Source organism: Homo sapiens, chromosome 1 (genome assembly GCF_000001405.40).
Source record: "Homo sapiens chromosome 1, GRCh38.p14 Primary Assembly".
In the NCBI taxonomy this organism is placed as follows: Eukaryota; Metazoa; Chordata; class Mammalia; order Primates; family Hominidae; genus Homo; species Homo sapiens.
In genome coordinates this window covers 192,230,984-192,244,436 of record NC_000001.11, presented here as the reverse complement: position 1 = coordinate 192,244,436, position 13,453 = coordinate 192,230,984, and the positions used below count along the sequence as shown (strand labels likewise).

The 13,453-nt window shown below is 35.8% G+C and overlaps 1 long non-coding RNA gene across 1 annotated transcript; it reads left to right on the top strand.

Annotated features, from left to right (window-relative positions):
• Nucleotides 1-4,645: 4,645 nt before the first annotated feature.
• LOC105371662 (uncharacterized) lies at nucleotides 4,646-8,224 on the top strand. Its single transcript, XR_001738346.1, has 3 exons — nucleotides 4,646-4,724; nucleotides 5,891-5,957; nucleotides 8,016-8,224. It is a non-coding gene; the product is annotated as an uncharacterized LOC105371662 (long non-coding RNA).
• The last annotated feature ends 5,229 nt before the right edge of the window (nucleotides 8,225-13,453 follow it).

Genomic DNA, 13,453 nt, shown 5'->3' with positions numbered 1-13,453 from the left:
GTTACACATCATAACTTTTGTCATACTGCATTATTAAAGCAGTCACAAAATCCTATGTCTTCCTACATTCAAGGGGGGAGGATGTAAATACTACCCCTGAATAGAAGTATTGATGCCATATTGTAAGCAGAGTGTGTGGGATGGGAGATATTATTGAGGACTTTTTATTTTTTGGGGAATGCAAGAAGAATTTTCGTTTTTAATCTTTCATAATTGACCTTTAGGCACAACAATCCACATTGTTCTTACCTAAGAAATTCATGTATCTTTTCTTCTAATAACCAAGTTATATCTCATTAGGTCATCAGTTCAAAGCCTAGACTCTCTTTACAAAACTCAGGTCCATGTTTAGATTAGCATTATCAGGTATAGTTCTGTAGATACAGCTTGTTGAATATTATTATTCTCCATTTGAAGCACTGTGAACAAATGATACCAAGTTATCCTCCTACATTCCTAACATATAACGTAGACAGGCACAGGACAACCACAATAGACACTCCCACTGATAAAAGGGAAAGATGAGAAGCACATAGCAGTGACTAGTTCATAAGAGTTCTGAAATCTAGGTTGGCTTTATATTGCTACTGTGAGAATTACTTCCTATGGCTATTATCTCTAACTCTTGAGATCTTGAATTCACTACTGAGTCATTCTTTCTTTTCAATAAAAAGGGCTTCTTTTGTAACTGAGTATTCTTTTTAAACTGATATTTACTTGTAAATGTCTGGGGGTTAAAAACATTTTTTAATTTTTTTCTCTATTTCCTTTTTTTCAAGCTGGCAACAATTTTACCATTACAATTCTCTTAATAGTTTAGTATGTTTTCCATGAATCTTATTAGATTTAACCCATTAAATGAAAGCCACATCCAATATTTTTTATATTAAATATTTAATACTTAGTACATATTAAATATTATTTATTTAATATATTAAATAATATTTAATATGTACTAAGTATTAAATATTTAATATAACTTTTACATTATCTTTAACTTAGGCTCCCTGTGAGATTCTCTGAAGCCTTATTGTTTAACAGAGATAAATTTTAAGGAATATTTTTAAGGTCTTTAGGAGCCCTTTAACTATCAGGAGGGTAACATGAAGCACCAAAGATCTTTAAAACAGATATTAAAACATCTCGCCCTATAAATTTGGTCTTTTGCCAGAATTCATTTCCTAATTTTAGAATTGTTTGCTATCTGCAAAGGCTAAAAATAAGGAAGAATTTCAGTTTTTAACCCACCAAGCCTCAGTTCCACTATATTTCACAACTTATTGTTTAGCTCATCTCTTTTCTTTTACATTTTATCCTAGGCAGTGGGAATACAGTTGGCACTTTCAATGTTCTTCCTGGAAATTTATTTTCCCAATACCAAAATCTGTGCCTACTACCTATTACCTATTACTGTTTAACAAAGCACCCAAACTGAGTGGCTTAAACAATAACAAACTTTTTTTTCCCTTCTCATGATTCTTCAATTTGGGAGGGCTTAATGTAGATGGCTCTTTACGTATAATTTTTATGTGAAGTCAGCTAGGGTGACTCAATAGAGATTGTAGGACATACTTTAAAAAAGCTGGCTCACTGACCTGGCTACAAGTTAGCACTGGCTCTCAACTGGGAGCTTACATAGGGCTTTAGGCAAAGACCTTAGTTCCTCTCCATGTAGCCTTCTGCATAATATGCTTGGGCTTCATCACAGTGCAGGGCAGTTCTGGGTGACCGTGAACTGACCAAGTTCTGCCCCTTTTTTGCTTGTAGTTTTCAAGAATAGCTGTAAAATGTGATGGGAATGCAACATTCTGAGATAAGGAGGTACTGGCTATAACAACTTGAGCATTATTCCAGTGCCCCCTAGAAATAGGACATCCTTCAGTGTTTTAGCCTATTGTGTCATGTGACACCTGAGGTAGAAAATCCGGGGCAGGCTGCTTTCCAGGGTCCCTCAGCTGCAATGCAAGGGGGACATGTGCAGATATGGCCTCCCCAGGCAGCTTTCCTGAGCCTTGAAGGAATGGCTCACAATCAGTCCTAGGCTTGTGTTGTCCCTTGCTGCCTATGTGTAAAAATAATAAACCTGCTTCAGGTAACTTGTGTGTGTGGGTGTTCTGTCTCACTGAACTTAGACAAGTTGCTAACCAGTCCACAGTGAATCTGCATCATGGACTGCATAGTGTGTGCTTGAAGAGTGAGCATTCCAAAAAAGCAAGGTGGAAATATAAGGCAACCTAAAGATATGCCTCAGAAATCATATAGCATCAACACAATCACAGTCTATTGCTTGGGGCTGTCATAAATGCTTTCCCAGATTCAATAGCCTAGGAAGAGTAATAGATCCCAGAACTTTGGGAGGAGTGTCATTGTCAAAGTCATATTGGAAGAAGATCATGTAGTATGAGAAATATTTTTATGGTTATCTTTAGAAAATACAATCTGCCACAGGAAATAAGAGAAATTAAAACTTCAATAGTAGAGGAAAGAACTCAGAAGTGAAGCTCTGAAAGTGGGAATTAGATGGTCACAGTTGTCATTGACCAGTCAATCTGAGAAGCCAAGTATGTGTCTTCACGGATTTAGGACGACCTGTGGGAAGCTAATGTTGTTACACTACTGAACATTTGATGGTGGGCTTTCCTATGTTCTTGGTCAATAGGCTAGCAGTCCAGGATAAGAGCTGTCTGAAGAACAGAGGAGAGTGAGGACAAGCTGGAACATGCAGGCAGCCCTGAGTCTGTTTGTCACTCTATCTAACCATGATGACCTTCAGACAGTAATATCATCTGCTTTTCTTCCATCTCAAAAGACTTCCACAGTTTACTCTTATAAATTCTGAGAAATATAGTTTTATCTTAACAAATGTGCCACTGTACAGTGAACCACACTGACAATTCACTGGGCAGAATATAATACAAGTGAAGCTGTCAATTCCAAATAAGGCTCTGAGAAAATTTTCTTCTCATACTGCCCTAGCTAAGCAGGGTTGGGTAGGTCTGAGGATATTGAGACAGAAGAATTATTAATTGTTGATATAAATAATGTTCTGTGAGTTTTATTCAGAGATGACAGCTATAAAAAATAACCCAATACATATTTAAAAGGTAACAGATAAATACTCTTTTTAAGCCTGTATTATTTGACGTAAACATGTAGAGCACCTCTCTTTTCTTAATGTTGTTAAATGCGCTTACGTAACATTTCACATTTTTTAGATTTGAGCTTAGCTTTGGAATCCCTAAGAACATTGATGAACTCCATTAGAAAGAGATCACAAGTTAATGTTTGTGTGTAAAGATTCTCAGGTTATTATTTAGTTTAAAGATGTGTTAAATTTTTTATAAATGGATTTTTAATGCTTATTAATGAAACGTAATATTTAAAGTCATTTTTTGGCAATACAAACTAAGTTATCTAATTTATTGGGGTTACTTCTTTTGATTTTTGTTTCAATATTGAGATGTAAAATCTCAGAGTTTGAAAAAATTTAACTTAATGCATTTTGCTTGATTATTGCACAAATAAAAATTTTTGATTGTTCAGTATATCAACAAGTATTTTTGGCCCCTTATTTTGTGACCAGTATGCATCAAAGTATGCAGAGATAAAAGGCATGGAATTTGTCTTGAAATAACTAACATTATTTTCAAGGAGAAAAATTAGACACAAGTGAGAAAGAGAATCAGACAGTGACTAACAGGTTATTATTAAATGCTAATGTATATAGTACAGACATTAGTGCAATAACAATTTTAAGAATATATTTGTGTATTAATTTAGAAGGCTTTCTGCAAGAGAGATAGGTCTGGGGTTTGAAGATCAGATAAGATTTGGAGAGGTGAAAAGGTTGGAGAAATACATTCCTTGAATGATAAAAGTAATCAATGGTTTGGACAACTAAATGGTGAATATAGTCTTTTTCTTTTAAGATTCTGAAATCTATGTAGCAGTGTGCCAGTAAGGTTATGAAAGCCACCCCCATGCTTTTGAGAGGGTAACCAAAATTGTTCACGACTTCTTATAAGTCCTGAGAAACTAATACGGGAGGAGATGGCAATGCATAACACTGATAATTTTTAAACAAATTTATGGGACTTATTTCCTGTTAAAATTCTTTTTGTAAGCCTATATACACAAACCCCAATTATAATCTGTGAGTAGATAATTGAAGCTTTTGACTTCTTTTATTGAAGATAAGTTTGCTAGTTTTCAATAACATCACAATAGTCTCAGCACTGCATAATTATACTAAGCCTTAGCATTTAAAGCACTTTATGTAATATAATTTTACTACAGAACAAATTAATGTTTAAAAGTATTTTCCAACAAGTATATTAAATATATTAGGATGCAGTACTATGTAGAAAGAGCAGGGGTAATGTGACCATCAAGACTCATTTTTTGTTTAATGTTCTGGTTCTCTTCAAATTACATCTACTCACAATTTGAATTACCTTGGTTGTTTTCCTGAGCTACTTGAACTAGTAAGCCATTAAACAAATTTTCTTTTATTCAAGGAGAAGCACTTATTTCTAATATCTGTGCTGAGGTTTCCAGTTTTTAATATATTCTTCTTGGGGGTTGTCTTAAACAATACATTAAGCTAATAATCATATTAATGATTTGTTCTCCCTTCTGCTTTTCAGACATGTGGCAGGCAAGTTAATCTTCAGTGGAATATGCAAATAGGATTTCTGAATTTGGCATGCAAATGAATTTGAGAGGTAAATGTAAAAGTTAACTTTACTAAGAAAATCAGTGCCTGCAAAAGCTTTCATATTTTGGGATTTGTGTGTTGAATCCATATCAGTTGCATTTAAGAAACACTATTCAATTCAGACTTTCATTTATTTATTTATTTTTAGTGCTTAAATATCTGTCTTGAATCTGGGTCTCTAAAAAGACACAGTATTTTCAAAGAGCCTTCAAAATACTTCCAATAGTGATGAAATAAATTTACGAGTTTTACCTTTTTGCTGCCGGATTGTGAGAGAAGTGAGGAGAATTTTATGAAAAAAAAATCCTAGATTAGCATTCTTTCTTTATTAGCTAACTTTCAAGGAAAATTGCCCTTTTTAGGACCTTAGTCATAACCATTTGAATTATTAATGAAACCTCTTGTCAAATCAAAATAGACATTTAAAAAATATTTATTAATGGATTTGCTCCCATAGCAACTACAAAGAAAGAAAGCATTCTCTTTAATACTAATTATAATAGTTTTTGAAGTTTAAAACTGTCAGACAATTTTAAAGGTTAGTTTTACCGATAATAAGTTCTTAAACAGTAATTATTCATTCTACCAATGTAATGCAATTACCCACAAAACAAATAAATTTTTCTTTGACTTCTCAGAGATAAAAATGGGGATGGCATAAACCTTTGATGACATTATGCTAAATGTAGCCTGTAAAATCAATTTTATTGACTGCATACCTGGTGTTACAGAGTTGGATTTTCTGAAAAGCAAATTCTGAAATGGAGATTGATATTTAGGGATTTTATTAAGAAGAATTTTTGGGATGGAGGCTTGTGGAAGGGAGAATAAGAAGTGGAAATAGGCAGATGTTCATTCCGTGACTTTTTCCCAATAAAGACCTTCATGACCCTTCACAAGGACCACAGAACTGAGATTCAGATGTGTATTAAGTTGGGTTGAGGGGTCCAGGCCTTCTCTACTCTCATACTGATCAATCATTAAGTGTAGAATGCCTGTGGACGGAGGTGTGACCTTAGAGAGGCAATTTTTTCATTTAGGGCAATCCTCAAGGAGTTCTGACAGTGAGAACTGTGTTTTGGCAGGACTTCCAGCAGATGGGGGAATATTCACTTCATTCTGCAGGACCTGCAAGGTATATTAACTTCTCCACCACAATTTTCCTTCTTACAGCTTCTGGGAGCATCTCTTCCAAGATTCTGGTAAGCCTTTCTTCCTGGGCGAAACTTAGCAGAGGAAGGTAAGTAGGACAAACCATGACCCCCACTATTGTGGCTGGATTTGATGCTTATTCTTTCCACCTTCTACAACCATTTTGATCCCCCTCACTCAACATAATCCCTGCTAGTCACAATGATTTATTGGTGTCACAACACAGACTTTCATCTTTGAGGGATCTGAGTCCTTGGTCTCAAGGTTCCTCTCACTTGGGATTGTTCTTGTCCATTTACCATCTCATTTGGGAAAGGGAGTGATGCATAGAGGTAGAGAAGAACATTTCATAGGTGCCAAAGTATTCCTTCCTACTATTCTTGTGTATCACAGCTCTACCACCTCCTGGTCAGGGTCAAATATACATGTTAAGTTGATGACTCCCTTTCTTCCTGCTGAACGCTTGGCATAAGGAACCCCAAATGCCCAGGTGTAGCCATGAGATATAGTTCAGTGGGATTCTGATTGTGTCTCCTGGGAAAAAGAGTTTACCCCTTTTTGAACTATGGCCTTTAAACTGATGGAGTCTGTATTTGTGGGCACAGGGAACACAAATTTCCTAAATAGGTCACTGGAATTGATGACTGCTCAAACTGATTTTTCTCTTTCCCAGTTACTATAGGGTTTATGGAATTTCTCTCTCAACAAACAACATTTCTGTGTTCTCTGTTACTCAATCTGGATACACTCCTTTTAAATCTCCCTCCTTTCTTTTTCCTCTTTCTAACTTATTCTCTTCACCAGGGAAACATTTTAAATTATAATTTGCCTTCTACTTGCTACAGGCCAGTAATTCCGGCCATTTTGTGTTTCTACAAAACATCACATATGTCACTATTTTTGGTGCTTTTACTTATTGGAGTATTCTACTGTTCAGGTCACCACATGATTATTTATTCCTTCTCTAATCTAATCTTATGCCCGGAAACGTCACCTCATTGAGACTTCTTTGGACATCACATACTAAAAGAACATTCAACATCTAGTCATTATTTGTTATATATTCTTCATTTTCCTCTTAAAAGTGGTTAATGTATTTGCTTGTTTATTATAATGCCCTTTTTATTGTTGTTTTTATATTGAGGCAGTGATCCTCCTACCTCAATTTTTGACTTTTTGTAGAGGTCTCACCATGTTACCTAGGCTTGTCTCAAACTCCTGGACTCAAGCCATCCTCCTGCCTTGGCCTCCCAAAGTGCTACCATTAGAGGCATGAGCCACTACACCCATCTAATTTTCCTTTTTCTAGACTGCAAAGTCCATGAGGGAAATAAACTTTTCTGACTTGCTCATGATGGTATCTACATGATCTGGATAATTGCCTGCCACTTAGTAGGTGCCCATTCAATTTTTGTTAAAGAAATAAAAACATGACAGTCTGAGATGAAAAATTTTCTCTTTCCCAGTTATTTTAACCTAGCATAGGAATAAAAGAGAAGGAAAAACGAATAAAATGAATTTATAATATTGGGAATATTGGTAAAATTAACTGAATAAAATCAACTATCTCAATGACTAGTTAAAGATATGAAGATGGCTACATTTTAATAGACAACCTGGAAATGAACCTAAAGTCTAACACTGAGTATGTGCCTTGGTCAATAATTAGAAACATGAAGGTCAATTTTCATTTGGCAGCTTAGAGGAGCCTTGTATAGATGGCGGTGACAAATTATTACAGTGATGGAAAGAGAAAGAACAAAATGGCCCTCTAAGCCAATTTCCTCTGGTATTTTTGTCCTTGAGAAGTGATTTTAATTGATTATGGTTGTCCTGTATTACCTGTTCAGCAATTTTCCAAGTCATTTCTCCCCTAAAGTTTGTGGTACAGACACACTAATATAGTGTCTCCAACACCCAAGCCATTTGATCAAGGCATCCTATTTGCATGTAGGAGAGAAATAAGGACTATTTAATGGTAGCTGCTGCAATAATTATAGTTATTATTGTTTTTGGCTACAATCTGGTCTCTAAATGATGCATTTCTTAATTTGAGAGTTTTCTCTCCTTATTTATGAGACTGAAGTGTAGAAATCATGATTATGCTCAATGAACTTATGTCACTGGATGCATTTGCTATTTGCAGGTATAGAGAAGACCTAAGAAAGACCAAGGAGAATTTGTGTCACTAAAATTTGAAGCTTTGATTCCGAAATTTTATTCAGCCTGAGTTGGTCATTTGACTTTTACTGCTATCAACTTGGGAGTTAAGGTGGTTATGGTATGGGGGTGGGTTTTAGGGCAATATGTATGATGAAGACTGAAAATCAAGTTTGCAGAAAGAAAACAAAACAAAATGAAAATTAAATAAATTATCAGGGAAGGCGAGATGAGGGACTAAGATGTGAATAAGAGAGAAAAGACCAATGTGATTTCTAATGGTTTTGCAGTTTTTGGTTCCAGTCCTCTGGGAAGCCTAGCGGTATTTTCTGATGATAGTTTTCATAAAATATTCATCTATGTTATTTAAAAAGACTACTTTCTTTGGCCTCACAAGTATAACTACATGATTAATGTAATAGTGATGATATTAATCTTATAATAATATGCTCTTTATCTTTATAAACATGATTCCCAAATAAACTTTCTACCATTTCAGTCTTAAAGAAGAGGAACAGTGCTGTTTATTAAAAGGATCAGACAAGGAGTAAATGTGGAATGATCACTCTTCCCAGACCTAATTGACTGCAGGAGGAACAGTCTGAAATTGGGGAAAACATCACACTACACCTATACCTTAACTTCTCTCTGCAAACCTAAGCCCCAGAAATAGGATATACATTACCCTATATTGAAATAAAAGCAAAAATGAAGGTATCTTTGCCCTACTCACATTTGAGACTCTCAGAGGAGACTACCTTGAAGAATGATCCTGCTATAACCATGGGTGACCACATAAGAAAAAACAAAAACAGAAACAGAGGTGTCAAGTGTTTAGATAGAGAGATAGCCTAGAATCTCTTATATATTCCAAATGGTGTGAAATGTATTGAAGTCATTGGTTTGGGAGTTTGAGAGAGAAGTGAGCCTACTTTTATCAATGCAAAATAATTCTTAAATTGAGGATTGCAGGGAGACAACCTGGGCAATAACTAAATTGGATTCCTGCCCAGACCTTAGGAGAATCCACAGAGAGGCCTTAAGGGAAAGGGCTGAGCTCACTAGAGTTTGCTGCTCCCAAGAGATTGCTCATCTTGTGGTCCCTTGACAGCAGGAGGCACTGAACAGGCAGATATGAAATATCATCTCTGCAGGAGCTAGCAAGGATCCAGAGAGCAGATTTACTGCTGGAGTAGATTTGGGGCCCTCAATCCCTCACAACCATGATGCTAGAGGAAATTCTGCAGTCTATGAATGCACCCAAAAGAAACTAAACAAACAAACAAACAAAAAATTAGTTAAACTTAAATGAACTAGATATCATCAGGTGGCAGGGTTTTTAATTTTTTTTAACGTTTTATTTTTACTACCTAACACAGTGGGAGCTTTGAGGAAGATCAAATACATTACAGAAACTGAAGGTGTCCTCTTTGTATAACTGCAGAGTAATAGTGAGTAAAGTCATTTATTAATAGGTTTTTTTTTTGTTGTGATAACAAAGGATTCTAAGATATCCATCACCTAATAGCAAAATGGCTTATTTTTTACTTATTCAACCATGTCTACCAGGGGTCAGCAGAGGTATTTCCTTTACATAGTCACCCAGGTACACTGAGGCACCCAGCATCACAAACACTGCTGCCTTCCTGCCAGAGGGAAGAGGTTCTCATACTGACAATTAAATGCTCCTGCTCAAAAGTGACATGTATAGCTCACTACTCATTTTTCAATACTAGTTACACCATTCCATCTAATCACAAAAGGGCCGGGAGGTACAACCCACTCATGTGCTCAGAAGGAAGGGAAATCAGACATATATCAGGGACAGCACTAATGACTACCTTTCAATGAGTACTAGCGATATCAGTGAGAAGGTAAATTATCATGTTGCTACTTTCCATTTAAGACACGGATAGAAATAAGTCATAGGTGGCTGTGCTTTATCAGGGCACATTTATACAAAGGTAAGCCCTAGAGCTGAGTGGAAGGTACTGAGCTCAATTATTCTGCTTAATGAAGTAAGGGAAATACGAAGGTGAGAAAGTCTTGAGTGAGAGAAGCTGGGCCTCATGCTTGTGTGACTAAGTGACTTTTATGTGTAGAGGCATCTAATATTTATAACTGTTAGTGTTGCTGTGAAGTTAACCCCTAATGTAGCCCCAAACTTCTATAAAGTCTACCACATCATAAAATGCCTTTTATGAATGCCTGGCTTGTTTGTTTGTCTGTTTTGAGAAAATTAAAGGGGTGAAGTTAAACATCTGTGTGAGCCCTGAGGAGGGTGTGGGTGAGGGGGAGAGAGAGGAGGAGAGAAACTGTGAGTTACACTGAGAATTAAATAGATGCAAGGACATGGAGTCTGTTTAAACTTTAAAAATTCTCATATATTGGTGAGGATGTTGGATTGCCCACAGATTATGGGATACAGTACTCAGAAAAATTTTATTTAAAATTCAAAGGTTTGAGTAACTTTAGCTGGGATCTTAGTAGCAGTCCAATATATTATCTCCTTGTTTATGCCAGCCCCAAATACATGCCTGTTACTTGAAATCGAAGTAAATGTGAATAAGACAGTTTACAGCATATTTAGTAACCAAGGAAAACGGCATAGATTTTCTACATTCATAACACAAAAAGCATGACAATTATGTGAAAAAAATTAAAGTGTATTTTGCACACTTAGGTTTTCTCAGACTAATTTTGCTGCATAACCAAGGCACTGATATTTGTTATCTATGGTTTATGTGTACTTTGGATGAGAGGAAAATGGATCATTTTAGCTTCAAATGCTTTTTTTTTTTTTTATTTTGCACAGTCCTTTAAATTCACAATACTCTGTATTGTTACAAAAAAGCTACTATCAGCCTAGAGAATTATGTTCTTTAAGAAGAGAATGATATTCTCCAGCTAAATTACTTCACACATGGAGGATCTTAATCCTTCTATTTTTCAACAGTATTGCATGAAGTTTAAAGGCGGTCTTATATTTTAAAGAACATCAAGATATATTATTTAATTTTCCAGATTACTCACAATAACAAACAAACTGAAAATTACTTTAAAAGAGAATAATAAATAAATGTGGCCGTTAGAGAGATGTTTCATGAGAAATGTAATTCCTTTAGCCAGGCTTTCAGCATGTGGAAAGGCCAGATGCTTGCACAAATGAAACAGTGAGACAGCCAGCCCTTAAGGTACTCCCTCTGCCAACATCTTCACCTCAACCCTCCTGACAAGCGTATAAATCTAGGCATGGCCGCTGTGTATCACAGGCTCCTGCCTGCATGCTGTTCACCTGTTTTCTTAAGTTGTGTAGTCTATACCTTTCCTGAAAGCGCAGCATGGAGGGAGATAGCTCCTGCACCTTATGCAGCTCAGGGCACTCAGGCTACGCACTGGAGAAAGTGAAGCTTGTAATGTCTAAATAAGTATTCTAAGTGGGCAATTTCAGTAAATTGAATGGCAGTCAATGGACCTTTCTGCTACTTTCTTCCTTTCATCCATTACCATTACTTCTATGTGGGAGGTTTTAGCTCGGAGCAGATGTTACAGTAGAGCTCGTGAATAACAGAAATTTTGAACTGTTTTCCTCCTACAGCCCCGAACATTCCAGGGACCACATTCTCTGCAAGAATTTGACAAGGAAACTACATTTTGCTGTGTGCAACTTTAGTAATGAGATTCAAACTTTTAAAACATTTCTAAAGTAGCACACATATGTGGCTTTATAAAAAAATGATTTAGTGTTAGATCAAATGCTACAGTCAATCTTTTTATAAGCAGAGATGTTTAAGTCCAATGATATTTTCTTGTGAATGTGTAGGTCATATAATCATGCTAAAATTTGTAAATATGAATAAAAATATGTAAAATTACAAACATTATAAAGCTAATTATCTGTTTTTATTCTGAGCTCAATATATCTCTCTCATATATTTAAGACATGAATATTCTTAATTTTTCTAATTATTTATCAAATACCTTATATCACCAAGTTATTTCACTGCGATTATTTTATGAGCTATGTACTATCAGTTCTGAGAGAGATTCATAGGTAAATACACAAATTCCTAAAAATCAAAAGAGACCAATTTATTATATTGTTAGTAACTTTTTTCTTAAATGGGCTATAACAAGTTTCATAAACCTTTAAGAAAGATCCCTTATCCCTTTGGCCAGACACGATGGCTCACACCTGTAATCTCAACATTGGGACTCTGAGGCAGGCAAATCACTTGAGCCCAGGAGTTTGAGACCAGCCTGGGCAACATGGCGAAACCCTGTCTTTACAAAAAATTTTCAAAAAATAGCCGGCGTGGTGGCACATGCCTCAGGCTATAGCCCCAGCTACTTGGGAGACTGAGGCAGAAGGATCACCTGAGTTCAGGAGTTTGAGCTGCAGTGAGCCAAGACTGCACCACTGCACTCCAGCTGGGGTGACAAAATGGGATTCTGTATTAAAAAAAAAAAAAAAGATAACTTTATATCTTAGTTTGCAGTTGTTTTGTGTATCTATAATTTACCCTTCCTTGCAACATTTAAGACAAATGCTGTAGTTTGCTGTAGTTTAGCAATCTCAAATTCAATTAGACATTAAAATATAAAATATCAGGCTGGATGCGGTGGCTTATGCCTGTAATCCCAGCACTTTGGGAGGCTGAGGCAGGCAGATCACGAGGTCAAGAGAATGAGACCATCCTGGCAAACATGGTGAAACTCCATCTCTACTAAAAATACAAAAATTAGCTGGGCATGGTGGCGCACACGTGTAGTCCCAGCTACTCGGGAGGCTGAGGCAGGAGAATCGCTTGAACCCAGGAGGCGGAGGTTGCAGAGAGCCGAGATCATGCCACTGTACTTTAGCCTGGTGAGAGAGTGAGACTCCGTCTCAAAAAAAAAAAAAAAAAAAAAAAAAAAAATCAGCACACCTACATAATGGAACCAGACTTTTATGAGCTTCCGTGTGTGCCTCAGAACAATTTGAAAGTTTTAGTATTAATATTATACATATAAATCTATTTATAAATATAGACATAATTGAATTAAATCCAATGTGATTTGGCTTTAGCCACAGTGATGAAATAGAGAAAATATTTTATCTCTTTTACTAAAGTTTCCTCCCAATTTAATATTTTATACATGCATATATACACGTATGCATACATGTAAGCATTCTTTTTTTTTTGATTCACTGCTACTTATAATTCAATAGTTGTTTAGTTTTGCGCTGACATCTGTTATGTCATTTTTCCTGAGGATATACAAAAGAAAATAAAAAGAATGACTTTTTCTAACTTGTTTTGGTTGTGATTAAAAAATAAATAAACTGCCTTTCTTCCCTTTGCCAGGTGGCAATTAGAGGTTCTTTTCAGTTTTTGCTTACCTACTATTTCTAGTTAAGGAGATATCTGAGTTTTAAGAAAA